At 42.5% G+C, this 25,589-nt stretch overlaps 1 long non-coding RNA gene across 1 annotated transcript in view; it reads left to right on the plus strand.

Moving 5' to 3' along the window:
* LINC02801 (long intergenic non-protein coding RNA 2801) overlaps window positions 1-25,046 on the plus strand; it is a 38,663-nt gene extending 13,617 nt beyond the window's left edge. Inside the window, exons 3-4 of the long non-coding RNA NR_167752.1 lie at window positions 17,330-17,352; window positions 24,216-25,046. This is a non-coding gene — a long non-coding RNA (long intergenic non-protein coding RNA 2801). The remainder of the gene's footprint in view (window positions 1-17,329; window positions 17,353-24,215) is intronic.
* The last annotated feature ends 543 nt before the right edge of the window (window positions 25,047-25,589 follow it).

Genomic DNA, 25,589 nt, shown 5'->3' on the forward strand with positions numbered 1-25,589 from the left:
GGGCAAGTTTGGGAGCAGGAAGATCAGGAAGGGGCTTTTGTGGTAATCTGTTGAACTGACTGGATTATTTCCAGAAAGAAACTGGGGCTTTCCTTGCTGAGGCTGGTAGTAGAAAGCGGAAGTGGAGTAGCAGATCAGGGTTCACAGCGTGTGGCTGAGAGCCAGGGTGACATTCCTCTGGACATTCTTCTGGACTGAATCCTTGCATCATCTACATTTAAAATGAACCTCAGAAGCCCTGGCCCTGTGATGCTGATGCTATTGAGGTTGAATTCTCAGGGAGTGAAGAAAGGGCTTGGCTGAGAACAGAGAGGGAGGAGTCCCACATCAAGGGATGACTTCACTAAGGAGGGAAACTGGAGAGAGGTGGGCATTTCCAGGCAGAACAACAGCGTGGCGGAGAGTGAGGGAGCTGACGGCAGGAGTGATAGCTGGTTTAATAGAGGGTGCGTTGCGGCGCTATCAGCAGTGTGGAGTGGGATGGCGAGGCTGCATGCTGGAACTTATTTAAAGAGGCTATTGTAAAAGTCTCTGAGCCAGTTAATTACCAGTTTTTGTTATGTCAGGAACTCCTTGAGTTAAAGCAGAAAGAAACCATTCACAAGTATGTTCCAGTTCTGTAGTTTAATGGGACATATAAAAAAAAATAAAAAACTGATATAATGATTTAGTTCATGGAAGGATTGAAAACCATCACAAGAAAAGCTGAAATTACATATTGTGTTCCATCTCCTCCTACAGAAGCCATTGAAATGGCTGCAGACTTAATTGGACTAATGACCCATTGCTGTTATGCACAACACTCTGTTATTCACAGAAAATTGACAAAGCCGTGGAAACGGTCCACAAATATGAACCCAGGTGAGCACAAAGACCCAGATGGGCTTTCTGAAGCACGTGTCCAAAGGTAAAAAGGAAAAAAAAGATGGAAGCAATGTGTACACACAGCTGGGAAGCCTTCTATGACTAGGTTCCAATCTTGTGGCCCAAGACCTGAGTGGAAAACAAATTAAAAAAAAAAAAAGAAATCCATATTTTCAACCTAAGACAAATTTTTGAAGGGTTGGGAGGTGCAGGTTCAGGATGAAGGGAAAGAGGAGGATTTTTAAAATGTGTATAACCTAAATTTATCAGGTAACAAGTGTAATTGTATAAAATGAACACTTGAGATAAGAGGAGGCAGACTGTGAATATCTTCTTCATGTCTAGTTTTATTTCTTGCTCACCTATTCTGGTTAACTCATGTCTCTGTTTGGGAATGCATCAAATCCCAAAAGTAGATCTCTGCAATGGTGGTTGGAGAAGACACATATTCATGGAATTTGCCTCCAGATTTTACTCACTGTTGTCACTGGAGTTAAATGGATTTAGCTTCTGGCCCTGGTTCTGGCACTTACAGGGGTGTGATATTGGACCGTTTCTACTATCTTCTCATCTATCCAATAGAGACAATGTCCCCTCCCCATGGATGGGCCCGGTACTAGGTGATGGGTGGCCCTGGAAGGATATGGAGGGTGCTGAGTAGGTTGCCTGCTGGAGGACCCTTGTGGGAACAGCTCGGCAGTCTGAGGCCACCTCTGCCAGCTGTCTCACAGAGCTCCTGGAGCAGCCCCTTTCAGCCAGCAGGCATGGTCCTGCCCCCACCTGAGACAGTTGGATTCTCAGCAAAATATACTTTATATTTTAATCTTGGTGGTTATATGAAAGAAAAACTGATAGGGGCTAAAGAGGAACAAGGGGATTTTAAATTAGCTTCCCAAAGAAGAGCTGGGTCTTGCTTTATTTTGTTGTTGTGAATCAGAGCGTCTTCTCTGAGGGGCCATCTGGGGGCCTGGGGAAGGTCTTTGCAATTTGCAATGAAAGGGTGAAAGTGCCATTAATAACTAGGCCTTCCAGGGAGTAAACAGAATGTCAGTGACAACTGCAGAGGATACTAAATGTGTCCGCCCTGGTGAAATGGAGAAGCAGCCCATAGGGTCCAGTTGAGGAGGATTGGGGGTAGAAAAGGGCATGAGACTCAATGGGAGAAAAGACAAAAGAGAAAGATGTGCCTGGGCAGAGGGGACTGAAGGCTAAGATGTAGAACCGTGAAAGCACTGTGCAGCCTATGGGGCCACTTCAGGGTGATGCCCGTCACCATGAGGCTCACTTTGTCCGCATGATTTGGTGATCTGACTGCAGAAGCATGCTTGGAGGGGTCACTTGCTCAGCCCTTGACCAGGAACTTAACTGAAAAAGTAGCAACTTTGTGATGACTGCAAATTCCAAAGAGAAAGAAAATGAGTGGAAATGCTTCAACAGGGAACGTAGAACTCTTGCTACAAATTTGACGCGTGTGGTAACCTGAGTAATGGTCCCCAGACACATTAACTTCTAATCTCTGGAATCTTATATGGTAAAAGAGGCTTTGCAGATGTGTTTAAGTCAGGGATCTTGAGATGGGGGAGATTGTCTTGAGTGATCAGGTAGGTTCTAAATGAAATCACGAGTGTGGCAGAGATTTGACTACAGAAGAGGAAGAAGGCCGTGTGATGATGATACAGGGAAAAAAGGTAACCCCTCACTATACAAGAATAAGTTTGTGTTGTTTTAAGCCACCAAGTTGGTGGTAATTTGTTACAACAGCCAGGGGAAACTAATATAGAATAATGTGTGACTTTGGCCTCACTAAGCCTCGGTCCCCCCAACTGTAGCATGGAGGTATTACTACTAATCCTTTCCCTCTCATGGGTTTGCTCTGAGGTTCAAATGAAACAATTTATGGGAGTGCTTGCTATTAATTATAATGCACTATATACATGTGAGTTAACAATGTTCTTGAAGGACACTCATGATGGTCGCTCTTTTTAACAATATGAATCCTGAGCAATGAGGGGATCAGTGAAAGTTAGAGGTGCTCCAGGATAGGGCAGATGACAGTGATGGTAGAGGGAGAGGAGAAAGAGATGGGAAGAGGGTAGACACTGGGGCTGAGGTACAGCCTTGCCACAGGATGCCCAGGGCCCAAGCCTGGCTGAGGGGAAGGTTTCCCAAGGTTTAACCTGGCACAGCAGCCAGGCTATGGCTTCAGATGTCTCCAGAGGAGTTCACCAGTCCTCAGGAGCCCAAGATTCTGTGTTGCTTGGAAAAAAAAAAAGGGGGTAAAAAGGAATCAGTGATCAGGGAGGTATTTTCTTAATTGGGGGCAGGGACAGGCAAAGCTTCCTTGATTAAAAGAGGCATCTTGAACTTCTGGCCCCCAGAATGGTCAGATAATGACTTTGTTCTCCACCCACCCCCCCCACCAAAAAAAGGAATTGCTGCTAGAGCACATTTGAAGACCTTGCAGAGCTGACCTGGGATACTGAGGTAGTTTCTTTCTTTCTTTTTTTTTTTTTATTTAATTTAAAGTTTCAGGATATATGTGCAGGACATGCAGGTTTGTTACATAGGTAAACGTGTGCCATGGTGGTTTGCTGCATCTATCAAGCCATCACCTAGGTATTAAGCCCAGCATGCATTAGCTATTTACCCTGATGCTCTCCCTCCCCCGCCCCCTGATAGGCCCTGGTGTGTGTTGTTCCCCTCCCTGTGTCCATGTGTTTTCATTATTCAGCTCCCACTTAAGCGTGAGAGCATGCAGTGTTTGGCTTTCTATTCCTGTGTTAGTTTTTAACTACTTCAGTTTTTAGGGGTCCTTGTCTATCCAAGACTTAGGCCTAACATTAATGATTGTGTTTATTATAACATAAACTCAGAGGGTTATTCCACTGGATATCTTGAAGTCACCCTATTACTATATGCCTTGTCAGTAACTTAAGTGAAATATGATGTTTTCTTTATTTATAGTTTAAACCCAGCCAGTACCCAGGAAGGTTTCATAACAGCTAGAATAACTCAAATATCATGTATAAGGCCTTGATTTCCCTTAGGATACTTTGTAGCTCTTCACAATATATTCTCCAACAATCCTGTGAAGTAGGTGGTTCATAACTTTCACTCCCGTTTTCTCTAATAAGTGACTAGTAGGGCTTTATAGGATGTTTGCTTTAATGAATGGCTGAGATCTTCAGGTCCTCTGTGTCCCAGTTAGCACTGCGACTTGGCTGTCTGATATGTAGGGTCATTGTCATCCCTGCATTTCATGCACAATCACAGGTCCTCTTCAGTAACCACTTTCTCAAATGGGCAATAATCCAATCCAAAAATGATCATGGTTTCACTGTGTCTTAAATGAGCAGGTTCTCATCTAAATTAAGGTTATCTATGGCAACAGAGAAAAAGGCAGGCACCACCGGCACAGAACTAGGTGATGGATGAATGAAGTGAGGGATTGGTTTTCCAGGGTTTGTCAGTTGTCTTGACAACAGTGTTTTACAGATGTGTGCATACAGATCTGCATGATTTAAAGCAATGAAGTCATTTTTGTATTTTCTCTTTTCATTCTGCATTTCCAGGAAAGGTTCTGTCAGTAGGCTCAGCTTATAGCCATAGGGGACTAACTATCAGATGTAGTTTCACTACTGTCTGGACTTGCTTCTGAGCTGCTTCAGAGAGAATGAGGTCCACACTTGCTGGCTCCATTTCTTCACCTCTCCTTCACGCCTCACTCCACCAGCTGCTCCTGAATCCACTAATGAAGTGGATTAATTGCCAAATCTGATAGACAATGTTTGGTCCTTACCTGATCTGACCTTTCTGAGGACTCTGACTCTGCCCGCCATGCATTTCCTTTTTCAGACTGTTTCTCTGTTGACTACCAGGACAGTGGTGTGCATTTTTGCCTATTTACCTCCTCCCTGCTGGGCCTCCTCTCTGTCCAACATTGTCCTCCCAGGGCTCTGAGCTCAACCCTTCTCTCTCCTCCCTCTGTACTCTCTCTCTGCAACTCACAAGCACAACAAGGTTTCAAACACCCGGGACCTGTGAATCTTTACCTCTAGCATGGCTCGCCCAGATGGGTTTCTCAACTGTCTGACCCTACCCCAGCCACTTACTCCTGTGCCCTTCCATTACCAACCCTGGCAGCTGTTCTATACTCTCAAATTACTGCCCCACTCTTGGCCCCCAGCTCCTATCTTTCCAGCTCATTCTTTTTTTTTTTTTTTTTTTTTCTTGAGATGGAATCTTGCTCTGTTGCCAGGCTGGAGTGCAATGGCCTGATCTTGGCTCACTGCAACCTCCGCCTCCCGGGTTCGAGTGCTTCCCCTGCTTCAGCCTCCTGAGTAGCTGGGACTATGGACATGTGCCACCATGCCTGGCTAATTTTTTTGTATTTTAGTAGAGACAGGGTATCACCATGTTGGCCAGGATGGTCTCGATCTCCTGACCTCATGATCCACCTGCCTCGGCCTCCCAAAGTGTGGGGATTACAAGCATGAGCCACTGCGCCTGGCCTCCAGCTCATTCTCTTTAGTACCCATGCTGAATGATGCCCTTGGCCACGAGGACCATACTCGATTGGTATTTCCACTTTTTCCCTGTCCCTCACCCCTTTGCTGTCCCCATTCTTCTTACTGAGCTTAAATCTCAGGCTCAATCCTCATAATCACATCCTGCTATATCTTGTTGACCCCCCTTGCCCCTTTCTCATTTCCTCAAACTTATTTAGTGAAACCACAATCTTGGTTAAATCCAACTCGCTTCTTCCCGCATCCGTGCAGCTGAATATGACTAGAGAAAAACACAGCCACACGGACTGGTCTCACTTTAAATTCATGACCATGAACCCTAAGTGGGTCCTTAATGCTGCCAGGCAATCATTCTGTTAGTTTCTGGTCCTTTCATTCTCCCAGTTAACTAATTTCCTCTCCCCATACCCACTCTCAGCTAATGACCCTGCTTCGTACTTCACTGAGAAAACTGAAGCAGGCAGAAGAGAAAGTCCACAGACTCCTGCCCTACTTCCCCCTACCTACTACCATCTGTACCCACAGACTCCACCTTGCAGCCTGTTTTTACAGATGATCTGTCTGTGCTCCCTTCTAAAGCCAGTCCGTCTGCCTGTGCAGTATGCCATGCCTCCCTCTTCTACTCAAGGATATTGCTACAGCACTGTATTAGTCAGGGTTCTCTAGAGGGACAGAACTAATAGCATATATGTGTGTATATATATATACACACACACACACATATATACAGACACACATATATATGTATATATATGGGAATTTATTAAGTAGTAACTTACACGATCACAATGTCCCACAATATATTTTCTGCAAGCTGAAGAGCAAGGAGAGCCAATTCGAGTCCCAAAACTGAAGAACTTGGAGTCCGATGTTCTACGGCAGGAAGCATCCAGCACAGGAGAAAGATGTAGGCTGGGAGGCTAGGCCTGTCTCTCCTTTTCACATGTTTCTGCCTGCTTTATATTCACTGGCAGCTTATTAGATTTTGCCCACCAGATTAAGGGTGGATCTGCCTTCCCCAGCCCACTGACTCAAATGTTAAATCTCTTTTGGCAACACCCTCACAGACACACCCAGGATCCATACTTTGTATCATTCAATGCAATCACATTGACACTCAGTATTAACCATCACAAGCACCTCTCCCTTCTGACATTTGCAATGTCTTACTCTCTACTGCAGCATTCCTGTCACCTCAGCTCCCTTGCCCTCAGAGTAAAAGCCAAAGTCCTCACAGTGGCCTATATGGCCCTTCGCAATCCAACTGCCCCATAGGCTCTCTCTGACCTCACCTCCTGATTCTCTCTCCTTGCTCCTTTCCCTTCAGGCTCCCTGGTCTCTTTGTTGGTCTTCCAACCTTAGGACTTTTTTTTTTTTCTATCTAAGATGCTCTTCTCCGAGGTATCTGCTTGGCTGACTCCCTTACCTCCTTTGAGTCTTTGTTCAAATCTCACTTCTCATTGCGGCCTGCCTTGGCCACCCTAGTTAGAACTGCAACACTCCCTCCCCCAACTCCTGACCCCCTTACCTCCTGTACTGTTTTTTAGTTTATCGTCAGCCTTATTATATAGTTTGCTTATTTATTATGTTTATTGCTGCTTGCCTCTCTGCATTAGCATGTAGGCTCCTTAAGGGCAGGTATCTTTGATTTGCTCACTGATGTATTCCAGACATCTAAAACAGTCCTTGGCATAGAGCAGGAGCTTGAGAAACCTTTGTTGAGTGAGTGAATATCTGCTGGTCCTATCCATGTGGATGCTTTTTTAGTTCTCTCCTCTTCTAATCCTTCTGGCCTGATTTCCTACAATATCTGCTCATATAATGGATAGCATGTCATTTCTCACATATCATACAGCCCTTCCTCCCCATCACCCTATGGAGTTAACTTAGGTTCCAGTCACACAGACGTTCTGGCCATTTCCTGCACGTGCCATGCTCTTTTGCACTCCAGACTTCTGCCCTTTTTCCCTTTCCCTGGAGTGCTCTCCACTCCTTTTTCTGATGTGGACTTCTACTGCGGAGTCGGCCCAAATAACTTTTCTTTTGTGAACACTTTCTGGATGTTTCAGGCCCTACCCTGGGGTATTAGAAGAGCTTGTGTGTAACTTTATTACAGGGGAAGAGACTGTCTTCCTCCTCTCTGTGGTGCCAGCAGCTCCTCAGTGCTTGGTACTATGTGAATGAGTGCATGCTTGGTTCATCAGTAGAACTGACTAATGATACAGGCGGTGGCTACTAACCAGCAAAGATTGTAGGCACAGCTCCTGCTCACGTTTGTCAGACCATGTCTGGCTCCTGACATTTGCAACCCTTTTCTCCCTCTCCTGAGGCCCCTCCAGCAGCATCTGCTGACTTGTACCTGTACTTCCACCATCAGGGTTGAGGAACATTGTTGACCATGGCAGAAGCGATAGAAGAAACTTCTTTCCATCAGCTTTGAGTCAAAATAATGCCAGCTCTATCCCTTGTATCCTGAAAATTGGTCATTTGCCTTTTTTTTTTTTTAAAAAAAAGAAAGACCTAGTTTTCACCTTGAGCTCTATTTTACCTGCTCAGAAACAACTGTAGAGTAAATCAATACAGTGCATTTCTGTTCACATTGTATTGGCTGGATCTAGTCATAACACTCCATCTGATTGCAGGAGAGATTGTAAAATGTAGTTTAGCTGTATGTCCGGGAATAAGAGGAGAAAGGGGATAGTGGGGGTACTAGGGTCCCCTCCACACCCTTTTTTTGTAACTATGAATATTTTCCCAAGGAATAGATATTTCATTAATAGCTAGGGTATGGCTTTAATTACTATCTGGTTTGTTCACTTGGTGAACTGGGATGGAGCTCGTGGAAGAACAAAGACTAGTTTTGACCTATAAGCTTAAACCCAAGCCCTTTTCCTCTACTCCTATGCATGCCTGTTTAGTCTTCCAGGTAATACTATGCTAATGGCTAAAGGAGAAATGAATCATAAGACCTCTTTCCTATACCTGCTAGTTCTTTCAGGGATAGGGGCTACTTTCAAGTGGGAGGGGACCAAATCCTGTCTAATTGCAGCTGCCATAATACTGAAAAGACAGAGGAGAGGAGAAAAAGCTGTATTAATTAGGAATATTGCAGTTACAGGTGATAGAGGGTTAGGTCATAACTTTATTTTAAAAAAGGATATTAATTTGCTCAGGTACCTGGGAAGTTCATGAGAGACAGCCAACTTTAGGAACAGTTGGATCTAGTGCTTCAAATAAGGTTTCTCCCTCTTTCCATCTCTATCTCTATCTCTAAACTCTCTCATCTCTATGCCTCTGCTTGGCTTAATCTTCAAGTAGTTTCTCTTCACGAATAGGTAAGATGACTGCTGGCAGCCCCAAATAATTATATGTCTCAAGAACTCTGGTAAAATACCAGGAAAGGCTGATTAGTCTGATTGAGTTGTAAACCCACTTCTGCACCTGTCACCATGGCTAGAAGGGCGGAGGAGTCTATCAACTAGGTGTAAGGCAACGCAAAAGTCCTTCTGTGTATTTAGCGGGGCACAACTTGTGGGTATGTCAGCCCTACCTGAACTGAACAGATTGAGCCATGTTGTTATAGAATGGGTAACAGATGAAAAGAAGGGAAAATAAAAAATAAATGTCCACAATAGAAGCAATCTGAACCAGACTGTGTGGAATAGAGAGCTTTTGCCCTTTTTGTTACACAAATATGCTCAATAGATGGTCATTTTTAAATCCTGTACTTGAAGCTTCCCAACCGCCTGGTCTTCTCATCTTCACTGCCTCTAGGGTTCCTTGTGGAACTCAGGTGCCTGTGTTCAATGCCATGATAACACTGATTGTTGGTTCGGTGGCTGAGTTAAATTCCACATCCTGAGCTTTCTCCATCTGCCACATCCCATTGCTGATTGTAGGTCAGGTTTAATTGTGTCCTGAATGTGCACAAAACCAGGGTTGGTACCTCTGTTTTTGGTGTAAGGGTGAGTTTGATTTTTGAATATGTTAGCACATCAGTGTTTCATCTAAGATGATGTATGAGGATTATGAGTACTTTTTTGTTGTTTAGGAATATGATTTCTTTTGCTTGAATTAAGCCTTCAATGTAAAAATATTAATATTTTGCGCAACATTTTTTTCTGATGATAAATACATGTTTCTTAAAGAAAATCCAGAAAATACAAAAGAATACAAGAAGAAAAAAACTACAATTTCTCATCCCAGTGAGAATAATATTAAAATTGTGTTTGATTTTTAAATGTGTGCTGTGTGTATATGTATGTGTAACTAATTATAAAATTAAAACCATAAGATATATATATATATATATATCTCATTTAAACCTGTTCTTGATTTAGCATGAAATATTTTCATTCATTAAATAATCTTCTAAAGCATAATTTTTAATGGGTGCAGAGTTCATAATATATAAGTGTTGCTAAATGTATTTAATTCTCTTTTGGACATTTAGGTTGTTTACGATTTTGTATTATAAATAATACTGTAATATGCATCTTTCATTTTTCAAATCTTTGATTGTGATTTTAGATAAATTCCTGGACATTGACTCCTGAACTGTTCTAGGATTTTTATACATAGTTAAGTTCATGTCAGAGAATTTATACTGCTTTACACTTCTCGCAAGTATGAATGAGCATATACATTTCCCTCACCTTTTCCCACAGTAGTAACATTTAAAAATTGGTAGTTTGATAATGGAAAAAAAGTACCTGGCTTTTGTTTTAATTTATATACGTTGATTTCTGGTGGGTTTGCCCATTTTTTTGCATTTATTAGCCATTTGTGTTTCTTCTGCTAGATGTCTACTCATAAAGGACTGTGCTTATGTTTTTTTGGTATGTTCACCTTTTTCATTTTGAACAAACTTTTGGTGACAGACATACTGGCCTGAGAGTCAAAATTACTGGGTTCCGCAGTTTCCTTATCTATAAAATGGGGATAATGTCAGGTGGATCCATAGTCTATTCTAATAGGTCTAAGTAGCCAAACATTAGCCTTTTTAGAAAGTTCAACCTGTACTTATCTTACTTCTCTCACAGGGAGTTTAAGAGACTCAAATGAGCTGAGTGTGCAAATGCTTTATAAACAACAAGAATGAGTCAAAGTGAGGATCACTATTTCCTCCATAGTGATCTAGGCACAGACATTTTACTTTCAATATCTCACTTATTTCTCACCACATATTCTTTTCCCCATTTAGCAGGGGAGGAGAATAAGGCTCTGCCAGTTTAAGCCACACAGCTTATGAGGAACAGAACCGGATGCTAGCCTGGAATGGCTGACCTCCTGTCCCACCATCTTTCCACTGTGGCATCCTGCTTCCCTCCAAGTCCTTTAAAAGGCAGATGAATTTACTTCCTCCCAGGCATAATCTACTTCAGTTGTGCACCCAGTAATAGACATTTGCCAAAGCTGTGCAGACATAGCCTGGATCAGTGTGGTGACCAACCAAGTCTCATTAGCAACATAAAGAGCATTATTGAGTAGTAATTATTTTCTTTGGAAATGATTATTTTTCAGAAACATGCAATTCTGGGCTCCTGGAAAGTGGAATCATGGCCATCTTGGGTAATTGCTTAAGTCATCCTCATTTACCGTTGCTTACATTATGATGAGGCAGATTCACAACTCTTAAAGTGCAAGTTGGGAGAATGAAACTTTTAGCATTCTGAAATTTCTAGAGGTATTATGTTCTTCATCGTCCCTTTGCTCTCCATTTTGGGCATGTGAGAATAAACATAATCCCTGGCAGAATAATATTTCTAGAAATATGAGGAAAAACTTAATTTCTTTCATTTTACGTCCAGATGTTTTCCAGCAGGAAAGAAAATCTCCATAGAATGCGAGGTTCCCAAACAAATAAAACTTCCAAAAGAATCCTCCTTTTAGCAGATCACATGGTATTACTTGCAAACTAGCTGGTGAATAAGAGAAGCTTTGAAGTTTGCATAGTCAATCAAAAATGTTTCTTAGAGATAAAAAGACACATAATCCATCAACAAGTATTTTTTTCTTGGTATCTTCTATGTTAGTTAATCTTTATATATAGTATTTTTTTTTTTGAGACGGAGTTTCGCTCTTGTTGCCCAGGCTGGAGTGCAATGGCACGATCTCGGCTCACCGCAACCTCCGCCTCCCAGGTTCAAGCGATTCTCCTGCCTCAGCCTCTCAAGTAGCTGGGATTACAGGCATGTGCCACCACTTCCAGCTAATTTTGTGTTTTTAGTAGAGATGGGGTTTCTCCATGTTGGTCAGGCTGGTCTCGAACTCTATATGCAGTATTTTAATACTCAAAGCAACATTTGGAATTTATGAACAAGACCCTGGACCAGGCAGCATGGAGATGCCAGAATGAACAAGTCTTGGTCATTGACGTAGGTGGCCTTCCAATTTAGGAAAGGGGTTAAATCTAAGGCAAGAAACTTGTAATAAATGTTAATACATGACAAATTTTATAAAAGAGAAACAAACAAAGTTCCATGGGAGATAGGGTGGGAAGAGATCATTTCTGCCTGGAGAGATCATGGCAGACTCCATGGAGGAGGCGGCATATGGGATGGAAGGCTTTGGGCAGGCTGGGAGTGGGTAGAGGATTCCAGACAAAGGACACAGCAGAGGCCAAGTCATGGGGTTGCCACAGCATGGGGGCAGGGAAGCTGGATAAGAGTGGCATCTAGTTGGCTGGTAGGTGGACGGGAGAATGGGAGCACCAGGAAAGTGAGCACTGGTGCTGCCATCAACTTTGCTCCTTGCCACACTGCTAGTCCTTGGCACAATGCCTTTCTCAGGAGGCTCAAGGATATTGATGAACTCCATAAATGAACAAATGAAAGAACAAGACCCAGTGAGCAATCAAGGAGCAAAAGCCTTCATGTTGGTGGCAGCACATTCTTTTGTCTAATTCACTGTCTGGGTGCATTGGTATATTTACCTCTTAGTACAGTAGAAGCCCCCTCTTCAGTCTAGGGTTGGTTATGTGGAAAAAATTTAGTTGAAGAGGTAAGCCATGGAAAAGTATGGGTTTACACCTTAAATGTTTTTAATTTATCTTAAATAAATATACTTTAATTCAACATCTCTATTATTTTTATTATTACCTAGGGCTAAGACTTTTCCTTTGAGTAAGCACCCACTGAAGGAAGCTCCCCTACCTCGTTTTGAATAAACCACACCTGTAACTCAATAGCTATGATTTTATGATTAAAAGAATAGCTTAGGTTCTTTTAATGCAGAAGGCAAACATAAATAAACCTGTGAAGCAATCTGAATGCAGAACCATTTCGGGCTTTTATGTTTTGCCCCAGTCCTGTACAGTTGTCTTTCTCATACACCATTAGGCAATATATTTTTTTTAGCAATAGCCTTTACCAATTCTTTTCAAATCATTCTACTTAGTTTTCATGCAAACAGTCCTTTTTTTCCCTGAACTCATATTTCATCAGGTTACATATATTGATCAAAATTATGTAATTATGATAACAAGGACATTTGGAATGAGGAATCTGAGAACCATCACAACTACCTCTTGATCAGAACATAATTGAGGCTGTGGGAGCACAAACACACAGGCTAAGTAGAGAGACCTCTTCTTTTAGACGGTTGCATGTGCCGAGGGCCTCAGTTGTGTGTCCTCCAGAGAGCTGGTTAATCCTGAGTTCAGAGAGCTTCTAGCATTCCACTAGCACCTTTTATCACAATGCACTGAAACCTTGGCCAACACAGAGGCATGTCATGCAAACCGGACATAGAGCTGGTCTGCCCTAGAGTACATCTGGGGTGTCTTGCCTTAGAAATGCCAAGGGGATGGGTGCTGTAACACTTTTACTATCATGGGGTCCCATGGGGGTCCCCTCCAGCCGACTTCAGGAATGAAGCTCCAGGGTGTGTAATTGTTTTAGCATAAATCAATTCAAAGTGGGGAGGAAGGCTCTTGGGGATCATGGAACAGTGCTTGGCATGTGGCTAATATGTATTAAATAGCTCCAAATAAAAATGGACATGGTTTTCTGCTACAGTAGGCAGATCGCTTGACTCTCTGGGAGTTGAGTACTTGGAGGAGAAAAATGAAGGTTTCCAAGACTCTGGCTGTTGTCCTAGCAAGACTCATCTTCCGTTGTCGAGGTGGCTGGTTCCCTGTGGGAAGGGAGGGAAGCCAGGCCCATCTGAGCATCTCAGGCCAATGCCCAGAGCCCTGACCCTGCACCAAGCATGCAGAGTGACCTCGTGGGGAGAAGACTTGGGTAGGGGTCAGGAGCCAGCGGTGTTGTCCTTTCTTATGCTTAGCTGGCCACATAACCTAAAGAAAATTCCTTGATCCCTGAAAGGCTACTTTTTCTTCTTTTTCCGTAAATTGAGGGTCAACTGAAAGCATTTGTGAAAGTCAAAAGCTAAGAGTCATGCACTGTTCAAGACACTACAAGGCCATGGGGTTTCTTAAGACATAAATCACTCAGTTCATTCAGGGGCAAGAGATGTGCCCCATCTGTCTCCTCAGCCTCCCTTCACTTGAAGGAACTGAGGATGATCTGCCTGATGCCTGTCACACCATCCATCCACCCACCATGGCTAATTAGTGTCTCTGCCCTTGAAGATGATCCCACCCCTCAAGATTAGCCTTGGGACATGAAGATCATTGCCTGGAAGAATATGGTGAGTCAGGGAGTTGAAATAACTGAGATTTTTTTCCCCCCTATCTTGTGACTACACTGAGGATTTTAGATTCTTTTCACCAAACTCCCTCAATCTTCTGTGAATACCCACCACCCCAGTCTTCCTAAAACCTCCTACCGCAGAGCAGATGTTTAGAGCCTCCTGCCAGGGAATAAGCCTGGCCTTTCTGCACATCATGTTAAACTGTCATGAAGTCAGACAGCAGAACAGGCAAAATGGGGACCCAGGTCAGCCAGTGCAAAGCTCCCTCCAGGAACCCCAGGCTTTGAGATCTCCTGGAACCTTCCTGTGCTTCTCTGTTATGGGACAAGGAGTCCAACAAGCTTATCATTGAGTCAGCTGGTGAAATGGCCCTTTACGGTGTGCAAAATGCCACCATCACCAGTAAAACAAGCAAAGGAAAAGCAAAAGCTCCGTAACTAAAGAAATGATTTCTTTCCAATAAGTGGATGGTGTTTAAATCTGATAAGGAACAAGTGAACCTGTGGTTCTTCCTGGTTCGTTGTGACTCAGGCCCAGAAAAAGGCTTAGAATGTGTTTCTGGAAGTGGTATAAAGGAAGCCTTTCTTTAGGGCCACCTTTGAGACCTGGGCAAGTAGAGGAGGGGTAAGAACGGGAGACCCAGGCCAGTGGATGGAGCTCTGAGGGCTGGCAGGGATGGAGGCCTGGGGCAGCAGGGACCGAGTGGCACTGCCATCTGGCTTTGGTTGCGTGGGCTTTGGAAAGTAAGTTGGTGTTCTGAAGGCAAGGCAGGAGGGATCCCAGTGCCAGGGAACAGAGTAAATGAGAACTTGTCTCTAAGCCACGGATTCTGGAATTTCCCATAATTAACATTCCAGCTGAATATTCAAAAGGCCCGGGCTTTTGGTAGGCCTGTAAATTAAAACAGAATAAAGTATTTAGGGTCTACTTAGGAGGGTAATGGTCTGGGAAACCATGGCTTTTGTTATTTGTGAAATGTGACTCAGTTTTTACATCTGTAAAGTGGCAATAGATTCAGAAATTTTTAAAATGTTAGTCCTGAGAGGGATCTTAGAGATAATTTAACTCTTTTTATTTTAGAGAAAAGGATCCTGAAGCCAGAGAGATTTGTTACTCTAATGGTATTAATATTAATAATGGTGTTGACTATGCTGAGTGTCTGTAGTACATAAATTCATTTAATCCTCACAAATTCTTTCTGAATAGTTATTACTATTATCCCTACTTTACAGATGAGAAAACTGAGACTTAATAAGGTTGTGCGTCTTGCCCAAGGCCACACAGCTCATAATGGGCATAACTGGAACTTGAGACCAAGTCTGCTGGATTCTAGATTCTGAGTCTTAGAGAAGTAACTCACAGCAGCTCATATAAAAACTTTTCTTCACTTTAGGAGGCCGAGGCAGGCAGATCACTTGAAGTCCGGAGTTTGAGACCAGCCTGGCCAACACGGTGAAACCCTGTCTCTACTAAAAATACAAAAAAAATTAGCCAAGCATGGTGGCGCACATCTGTAATCCCAGCTACTCGGGAGGCTGAGGCAGAAGAATTGCTTGAGCATGGGAGGCAGAAGTTGCAGTGAGCTGAGATTGCACCACTGCACTCCAGCCTGGGTGACAGAACAAGACTCTGTCTGGAAAACAAAAACAAAAACAAGGACAAGGGGTTTACAACCATGGAGTAGGGTGGGGGTCAGTGGATAGAAAATTACTAAGAGTGAACCTTGAGAACAAGGGGGTTTCTGGCTAAACCAACTTGATGGGATTATTGTTGAAGGCAGGCCAGGGTGATCGGATACCAAGGGCAGAGGATTTTTCCTTTTTTTTTTTTTTGACAGGGTTTTGCTCTTGTTGCCCGGGCTGGAATGCAACAGCGCGATCTGGGCTCACTGCAACCTCCACTTCCTGGGTTTAAGCGATTCTCCTGCCTCAGCTTCCTGAGTAGCTGGGATTACAGGCGCCCACCACCATGCCCGGCTAATTTTCGTAATTTTAGTAGAGACAGTTCACCATATTGACCAGGCTGGTCTCAAACTCCTGACCTCAGGTGATCTGCCCGCCTCAGCCTCCCAAAGTGCTGGGATTACAGGAATGAGCCACAGCGGCTGGCCGAGGATTTTTGTTAGTAGGATTCTTGTTCAAAATGGATTCTACAAACACAGAGAGGGAAGCCCAAGTTCAGGCCCAGTCAAGCTGAGGACTCAGAGGAGCCTGACTAAAGTTTCAGTCAAAGGAGAGAGTCTTTGTCAAACTCTATGAGATAAGCAATATTATTCCCATTTTATAGATTTGTAAACTGAGGCACAAAGATGAGTCAAGGTCACACAGTTGGTAAATGGTGGAAACAGGATTTAAACCTATGGAGTAGGATTTGAACCTCTGTGCTATATGTATATCTAACGTGCCTATTATTGACATGTACTTCCACACAACTACCATATAATGACAATTTATGTGTAATATGATGCCCTTGATCATTAAAGACAGATTAAACATAACACTGTGTCTTTGTTGGGAGATTTATTCTATTGTATTCAAGTATTTTGGGGATCGGTCATCCATCTAGTTTCCAGATAACATTTGCAGATTATTATCTCAATTCCTGGCCATTCATCCGGAAGGAGCTATTTGCTTAAGTGGACGGGACTGACCTGGCTACAGCTCACCCTTGTCCTGCCCTTTCCTCTTCAGAATTGGAAGGGAATCCTGCCCTGCCGTTAGGCACTGCTTTCTCCCTTTGACTGGTTATACTGGAAGTCATTTTGCAGATAAGACCAGCATTAAGTTTTGTGAAATAGTGGCGTCCATTGGTGTTGAAAGGTGTAGAATGAAATCACTTAAAGTAGAAGCTGTTTTCCAAATGATTTCATGTCTCAGATCTAAATTATTCATTTGAGAAATTAATCAGTTTGGATTTTAAGAGTTACTGTTGGGTGATGTTTTTCTTCTTCTTTTGCCTCTAATGGATAATTTGAGGGAATCAGCTTTTATATTAAGAAGATAAAACATGAGTTTGCAAAGTTGCCATCTGATCTTATTGCCTGGTGGGCCACCTAGGAAAAGGAGTCTCTGATGGATATTGGATCCTGAGGTGCATGAGGGCAGGAGCTACATATAGACAATTCCCTTTGTCTTTTATTTAATGCAAAGCCTTGCACGACTGGGCACCACACATTTGCCTGCTAATGATATGTGGGAGCTGGAGAGTTACCCCCATTCTTCATTCTAAACATCTCTCTTGGCTTTCTTTGTCCCACTGCCTGCCTGAATCTGGCCCTGAGCAAGATGGCCACCCCACAGGACATAAGGTATGGGTTTGGAAAGTTGAGAAAATGATCTGTGTTAGCTGGCTTCTGTGTTCCATGTACATTTTATTGGAGCCTGTCTGAAGATAGTGCCTTGCTTTTGGAATGAGGCCTACTGAGTCATGCCAGACTGTTTAGCTTTTCTTCTTTCACGGTAATGCCTTATCTCTGAGCATGAAATTGGCCCCATGTTTGTCTATCTGGTCACTACCATGGTTCCCAAGCCCATATACATCCCCTAATCTTTTTCTTTGCTACTCATGCAGTTTTTCTACTCATATTCAATACTTTAAGAAACTCACTCTTTCATTCTGTTTTACTAACACATCACCCCTTCCTGTTCCTTCTTCACTTTAGTATTTTCTTTTTCTGAGAGGAGATCTTGGATGAAAGTTATTATAGCCATAATTTATTAAATGTCTTCTGTGTGTCTGGGTCTGTGCTTAGAACTAATAATTATTTGTAACAATTGTCGTCACTGTACACTTACTATGTGTCCAGCAGTGCTAAGTGCTTTGCAGACATAGATTCATTTAAGTCTTATAACAAGCTTATGACATGAATACTATTAATAAACCCATTTTACAGATGTGGAGATTGAGGATTAGTGAAATTAATTAACTTGCCCAAGGTTACTAAGCTAGTAAATGGCAGTCTTGAATCAGGCAGTCCAACTCCCAAGCCCTACTCTTAATCACTACAATATGTTGTCCTTCTTTTAAGCCTGTGGCCTTTCCTATTGTTCACAGGTATCCCGCAAGGGCAGTGTTTTGCTGTGCAGACCTAATAAGATCCATGCTTTGACCTCAGGCTTGTCTGCCTCCAAAGCCCAAGCTTTTTCCACTCTCCAAATTGCCTTTGAGGAAGATAGACTCTGAGTTGCCTGCTATCACCTCACCAGTTTTTCCTTTCTTAGGCATGGAGAGAATGATGTAGGATTAACTACATCACATATGATATCCAAACAAATCCATTGGTTTACTCCAGTGGCTTCCCAATGTCTTTATCATCCTTTCTTCACATTTTACATGGTACAAGAGATCGAGACCGAGCTACTCTCGTTGAATTCACAATAGGGGACCTGTGCCCTCTTGTGCCCCTGCTCTACCTCCCATGAGCCATGGTTTCTGCAGTTCCTCCATCAAACCCTGAAGGACACCTGAAAGCACAGCTGTAATGTCAGTTAACCTCATCTTAAGTCAGGAACACATACCAACCTTCACTAGGTGGATAGTTGTTTATTCCATTTTTGCATTTATCAAGTATAACATTATTCCAAGACATCTATGGTTAAAACAACAACAACAACAACAACAGCAACGTTAAGTCCTCATTCCAGCCAAAAATATATTTTCTAAGCCCATCTTCCTATAATTACCATTAAAAGAAACATATTGGTCAGATCAAATCCATAAACACTTGTCTAGTGCCTGCCAGCCCTGGGGAAACAAATCTCAGTATGACATGGTAACTTCTAAGTTATGAGATGATGATCATGATTATTATTATTCTCAGTTTTCTGAATGGCTTAAGCCCAGGCAATTAGGTCCTCTCTAAGACTATAGCAAAACAATCATGTGTTGGATTTCTCTTCCCACAGGAACTCCAACATCCAAACCATAGACACAACACTAAGGCAGGTCACATTATGATTTCACCTAAGCAACTAGAGTAAGCCATGGCTTACTTTCTTCCTATAGACAGTCCAGGGCACATGCTAGCCATGGACTTTAGCTGCTGACACCCAGGTATGAAACTAAAATGAATGATAGACAACTCATAGCAAGATGTAGAGTACCATGAAGCCAAATCTAAAAAGTTTTCTGGATGTGTCTGTTATCTTTACCACTGTATTATCAGACCAATGTTTTGAATTTTGATCTTCATATTTAGTGGAAGGAAAATCTGATTCCTCTGGAGTAAAAAAGGTGAAAAAGATGACATATGTGTACGTCTTTTAGGTTATGAGTATGGAATGGTGGCAAAGAATACTATGTGTCCGCCAAGTCCTATCGCTTTGCCTTTTAGGCTCATACCCAGACTATACCTCCAAGCGTTTTTTGTGACTAGGTGGCATCATGTCAATGAGTTCTGGCCAATAGATGTTGCCAGAAGCAATGTGTACCATTTCCAGGCCTGGCCCACAAAATCACCCTATGCAACCCTCCATGGTCTCTCCTCCTATATTCACTGGTTGAATGGAGAGGACTCTGTAGATTTGGAGTATAGTGGACCCAGAGGAGAGAAAGAGTGTAGATCTCTAAATGAGCAAAGAGTTTGTAGAGTAAGACCTGCACTTGGCAGTGAAATAAGCAATAACCAATTTTTTTGTGTTAAGCTGTTGAGATTTGAGGAATGCTAATTACAGAATTTAGCCTACCTTACTAATACAGAGGCACAGTGAATAAGAGCCTAAGTATTAGACAATTCTGGGTTCTATACAAACTTTTCCACTTACCAGCTGGGTGACCTTGCACAAATTACTTACCCTCTCAGAGTTTCAACTTCATTTGTAAAATGGGAATATGATAACACTTACCTCATAGGATGGTGGGAGAACTCTATGAAAACATATGTATATAATGTCTGTTACATAGCAGGTGTAGCAAGATTACAAATTCACTCACACAATCCAATTGTGCAAAGAAAATGTACTCCTTTATTTCTCTATAACTGATTGAATTTTCTTCAAGATCCTCCAGCCCTGGGGTAGCAGGGAAACAAATGTGAACTTTAAATGAGCCAATTAACAATATGTCAGTCTCCTTTTGGTTTAAAATAGTTCCTTTCAGGTAACTGCTCAGGCTTTCAGAATCCTCACGCTCAAGAGGGTCGATGGGTGAGTTTACTCTGTAGCCCAGAGGTGGCCCCACAAGTCTTTGTGCAGGCCTCTGGCTGCTCTCGGAGTCCTCACTGGTCCTGCTGGGTTGTGTCCTTTCCCTGTACTGTTAGTGCTTGCCCATGTGGCAGCTGCTGCTGGAAACTTGAGAGCTCTTCTTTTCTCAGCTTGGAAATGGCTTGGTGGGCTTCTCTTTTGAGCCAGCTGGTGCTGTGTATCCTTCTGAGGCTTGGCTGTGACTACCACTTGCTCTCTGGCCTTGGCTGCCCTTGGCCACAGGGTCATTTTGCTCCCCCATGGTGACCACTCTGGCGAGCTGACTGTTCAGCAAGTCAGTTACTTTCTCGTTCCTCCTAAAGAGCATCCAGGAATTTCTGAGTATTTTCCATACAAGGATGGAGACTCCAGCAAACCAACTCAGGCCTGCTTTCAGCCTAATCATGACTTTGCTCTGATACGGCCACCACGTGTTGGGTGTGGGGGTGGGGACAGTACTCTGCAAGGTTTCTTCTCAGAGATTCAGAGAAGGACAAGGGCCTCTTTTCTTTTGGTTTTGTGGCAGACAGGCTCTAAGGTGATTCCTTATGATCCTCACATCCTGGTGCACATACCTTTGTATAATCCCCTCCTCTTGAGTTGTGGGGGTGGGACCTGTGATTGCTTCTAATCAATAAAATATAAAAAATGGATACAGCATCACTCTGGTGATTATGTTACATTATATAAAAAATTTCATCTTGCTAGCTGACTTGCAAGAGACTTTGCTTGCTGACTTGATGGAGTGGCCGTTTAGGGAAAGCCAATGTGGTGAGGAACTGTAGGTTTCGGTTACCCCTAGGAACTGTGGGTGGCCTCTAGGACCTGAAGACAGCCACCAGCCAGTAGGAAGCCAGGATCCCCAGTTTTACAACCACAAGGAAATGAAAACTACCAATAACCTGAGTGAACTTGGATATGGATTCTTCTCCAGTCATGCCTCCAGATGAGAATGCAGCCCAGCTGCCATCTTGGTTGTAGTCTTGTGTGACCCTAAGCAGAGGATCCAGCTAATCCTGATCCACAGAAACTGTAAGATAATAAATGTCCATTGTTTTAAGCTGCTAAATTTGTGGTTTAAATAACAAGCTGCTAACTTGTTATGCAGCAATGAACTTTGGCTGAGAGAGAGTCGGAGGCATGCATGTCCATTATTTCTCCTCCTCCAGCTCTTTTACACTTCTCACAACCTGCTGGGGGGTAGAAGAGCACACTTGCATTTTCCTCCTTCAGTCTGATGGGAGGACCCCTCCTGCTGTCCCCAGTCACACACACATCATCACTTACTCCTGATGCCCAAAGTGGCATTTACTCACTCTGTTTCTTTGGGCTCAAAATGTGGAGTGGCTGCTGTGAGACATAATTTAGAAGAAGAGGTAATAAATACACAAAGAATTAATATTTTAAGAATATTATCCCCGTTACAAAGATCATTATATTTAGTTTCTGTATTAGTCTGTTTTCACAGTGCTATACAGAACTACCTGAGACTGGGTAATTTATAAGCAAAAGAGATTTAATTGACTTACAGTTCCACATGGCTGGGGAGGCCTCAGGAAACTTATAATCATGGCAGAAGGTGAAGGGAAAGCAAGGCATATCTTACATGGCAGCAGGAGAGAGAGAGAGAATGAGGCGGGGAACTGTCAAACACTTTTAAACCATGAGATCTCATGAGAACTCACTCATTATCACGACAACAGCATGGGGAAAACCACCTCCATGACCCAATCACCTCACACCAGGTTGCTCCTTCGACTTGTGGGGATTACAGTTTGAGATGAGATTTGGGTGGGGACACAGAGCCAAATCATATCAGTTTCCTTCCCTTTAGATTCAATTGGTTGAGCCTCATTGTTTTCCCAGATCAGGAAGTTAACAAACCGTTTTTAACTCTAATTTTCTCTTTAGTTTTTCCCTATTTCAAACTTCTCCTGGCATAGGAAAGGCCATTAGGGCTGGGTGGCCCACCTCCTTAGAGACATAAATAGGGCTTGCTATAAATGCTTGGGGAGTCTGGTTTCCCATGGGGATGCTGATCCTGATAAGTAACTATCTAGTTAGGGTCCATGGAATACAGTCACAGATTATTAGAACTGAAAGGAGAGCTATAAAGTCCAAATGCTATCATTTTATAGAAAAGGAAATCAAGGCCCAGGGAGGTAAAATGACTTGCAAAAAGTCACCATGTTGGTTATTCCAAAGCTGGAACAAAAATCTGAACATTCCAATTCACAGACCGTGCACCAGTTATCTTAAGATATCATGTACAAACTGCAAATCGATATGTAGCAGAAAATTCTTTAATGAGGCACGCTTTGCCAGAGTGGATTATTTTTTAGATTCACTTTATTGAAACCTCTTCCTTTGCAAGAATTAAGTTTTTATCCTTTTCTGCTGATAAAAGAAAATCTTTCCAGGTAAAACCAAAGAATATCATCTTTCCTCTGACCTGCTAAAAGGTAATAACAGCTGTTAGGAATATGTCCCATCAGGCCCCAGGGAGTGAGGTATGGGGCATTTACAAACTTTGGGTTGCATTTGGAATTGTCTGAATCTGGGCAGCCTGCTGACCTTGGTTGGAGACAGACCTTTTAACTGTGCTTTTATGTATCATCACTTCTTCTCTGTATTCCTTTTTTCTCTCTTAAGAAGGGGAGTTAGTCTTTACTTTTTCCCCTTTCTGGCCTTTCAAGACAAAGCACTTGAAATATGAATATGATCTTTGTGGAAATTGGTGAGATTAAAAAAAAATTCTTCTATCATTTTGCAGAGATTTTTCTACCCCTGGAATTAGAAAATGGTTTGGGTCATAGAGAATGACCTTTTAAAAGCATGTTGTTATTTTATTCCTAATTCTCATAAGCGAGCTTCCTGCAGATGAGTAGCTTGAGACACTGCCACTGCTGCTTCATGTTACCGTTTCTCAGTCCTGACAGTCAGTTTACGATGTCAAGCATGGCACCACATTTCAGCTTTGTGAGAAATGCTGTAGTGTGGTGGGGAAGGACTCTAGTGATGGAGTTGAGCAGACCTCAGTTCAGAATCTGTGATTTGAGGCAAGTTACTTAACATCTTTAAGTCTGAGTTTCCTCACAGGTAAAGTGGAGAGATTAATAGTGCTTACCAGATATAGATGTTGCATACGTTAAATGAGATAAGAATATGGCACAGCTAGCACATGCCTGGCACATAGTAGGTGTTGTCATAACATGCAGGACACTGTATTAGAATTACTGTACATGTTCATAATCCCAGCCACACTGAAAACTCAATCAGAGCAGAAACTATGTCTGTCTCGGTGTAATCCCAACTCTCAGTTTAATGCTTACTGTATCACAGGTGTTTATATTTTTGTGAATTAACAAATAAATAAATGATCAAAAATTGATAATTATTACTAGTGTTCCCCTTAACTTGAGTGGCACACCAGCAGATGACTCAGACTAGCTGAGTCATCTCAGCAATACCTGGTTGCCTAAACGCATTCAAGCTTGCTCATACAGAGATGCAGGTACCAGTTGCTTCCAGGCTTCCTACCTTTGACATATTTAGTTCAGGTTTAGGAATTTGGAAAGGCATTTCTTCATAATCTGGCATTGACTGGAGCTTACAGAAAATTCTCAGTCTGAAGTTTATAAACCAATATCTGAAGAACTAGAAAGGGCAAGTGTTACAATAATCTGGTTAGAAAAACAAAGTTTCTTCTAACTTAGTTCTTAAAATTCAAAACCCAATGTGAACCCCTCATGAGTTCAATAATTACCAAGGAAACTGAGGCTTTTAATGTTCCTGTTCCATTATAGATAATTTCCTTCTCATAGGAGACCTCTAACAGCAGTCAAGATGGAAATAAAAATAGTCTGAGGAGAGACAGTGGAAGAAATAAAAAAGGAACATAATATGGAGGAAAGATAGACCCCTAGGAGATGGAGAGTTTTGTAAACAAGCTTTCTCTACACAGAGGTTGGATATGCCTTTCTGTCTCCAGGGCCCAGCACAGAGCTTGGACGTGTGAGCTGCTCCACCCATATTCGTTGGGTGAAAGGTGCCTAGGAGATGGCGTGGCAGAGAAGGAAAATGTGCTGGAGTGGAAGAAACCAGAGCGAGAGAAGCTAACTTGCCGGAGTCCATTGCCTGGCCAAAGAGCAGAAAAAGGAAGACAAATGCTTGGAAGGAAAGAGGGAAGGACAAAAAGCTGGACTGAGAAGTTCTACTTTCACTTTTTGTTGTTTTTGTTCCTTTATTTAAGAAAAGCAACAAGGGGGCCAGGCACAGTGGCTCACGCCTGTAATCCCAGCACTTTGGGAGACTGAGGTGGGTGGAACACCTGAGGCTAGGAGTTCGAGACTAGCCTGGCCAACATGGTGAAACCCCATCAGTATGAAAAATACAAAGGTTAGCCAGGCATGGTGGTGCACACCTGTAGTTCCAGCTACTCAGGAGGCTGAGGCAAGAGAATCGCTTGAACCCAGGAGGTGGAGGTTGCAGTGCACCAAGATCGCGCCACTGTACTCCATCCAGGGCAACAGAGCAAGACTCCAAAAAAACAAACAAACAAAAAAAAACAAAAAAAAAAAAAAAGAAGAAGAAAGGAAGAAAAGCAACAAGGGAGAAATGTCAAGAGAGTGCTAAAAGGAAGTGAAGGCAAATGTGGGAGATAAGAATTAATTCTTTGTTTCTCTTTTCTCTCTGAGAATGTTAGACCTCTGATCTAATTCTCCACTGCTTCCTGCTCTTTGTATCTGTTTTTATTATTCTCTCCCATTAAACCATAAGCAACTTGAGGGCAGACAATCAGTTTTACTCCTTTTATATCCACCACTGGACCTAAGTGGGTGCCTGGTTCATTTGATGCTTAATGAATTAAATTGGCAAGAACAGATGATACTTGTCAATGGATGTATCTATATAAAGAAACTCCACTTTTCCATGACAGTGGGACAATCAATTCTTTCTCCTCTCTCTGTCTCATGAGATATACACAAGAAACAGAAAATTGAAAATTATAGGGAATTTTTTTACAGTTCTACACATGATGTTGCTGGAATTCACTGGAATTTAATCAAAATAATATACTACAACATATGTCAACTCAACTTCTGTGGTTGTTAAAGGAAAAGTTTATCTCCAAGTGAGACAAAGTGCATTTGGAAATATGCAGTGGTGTTTTATTATAATCTACTAGTTCTCATCTCAGTTAAGTCACTCCATGGAGTTGGGTAATCTACTTTCTTCCAGCTATAAAGTCTAATCTATTACAAGTCATTGAATGTTAGAAATAGGTCAAGTCATGTCCAGGAATATGGCTGGAACATTGGAAAAATAGAATACACAGGAGGTGAGCTGGAATGGGAGGATATGG

This window comes from Homo sapiens, chromosome 1, assembly GCF_000001405.40.
Source record: "Homo sapiens chromosome 1, GRCh38.p14 Primary Assembly".
Taxonomy (NCBI): Eukaryota; Metazoa; Chordata; class Mammalia; order Primates; family Hominidae; genus Homo; species Homo sapiens.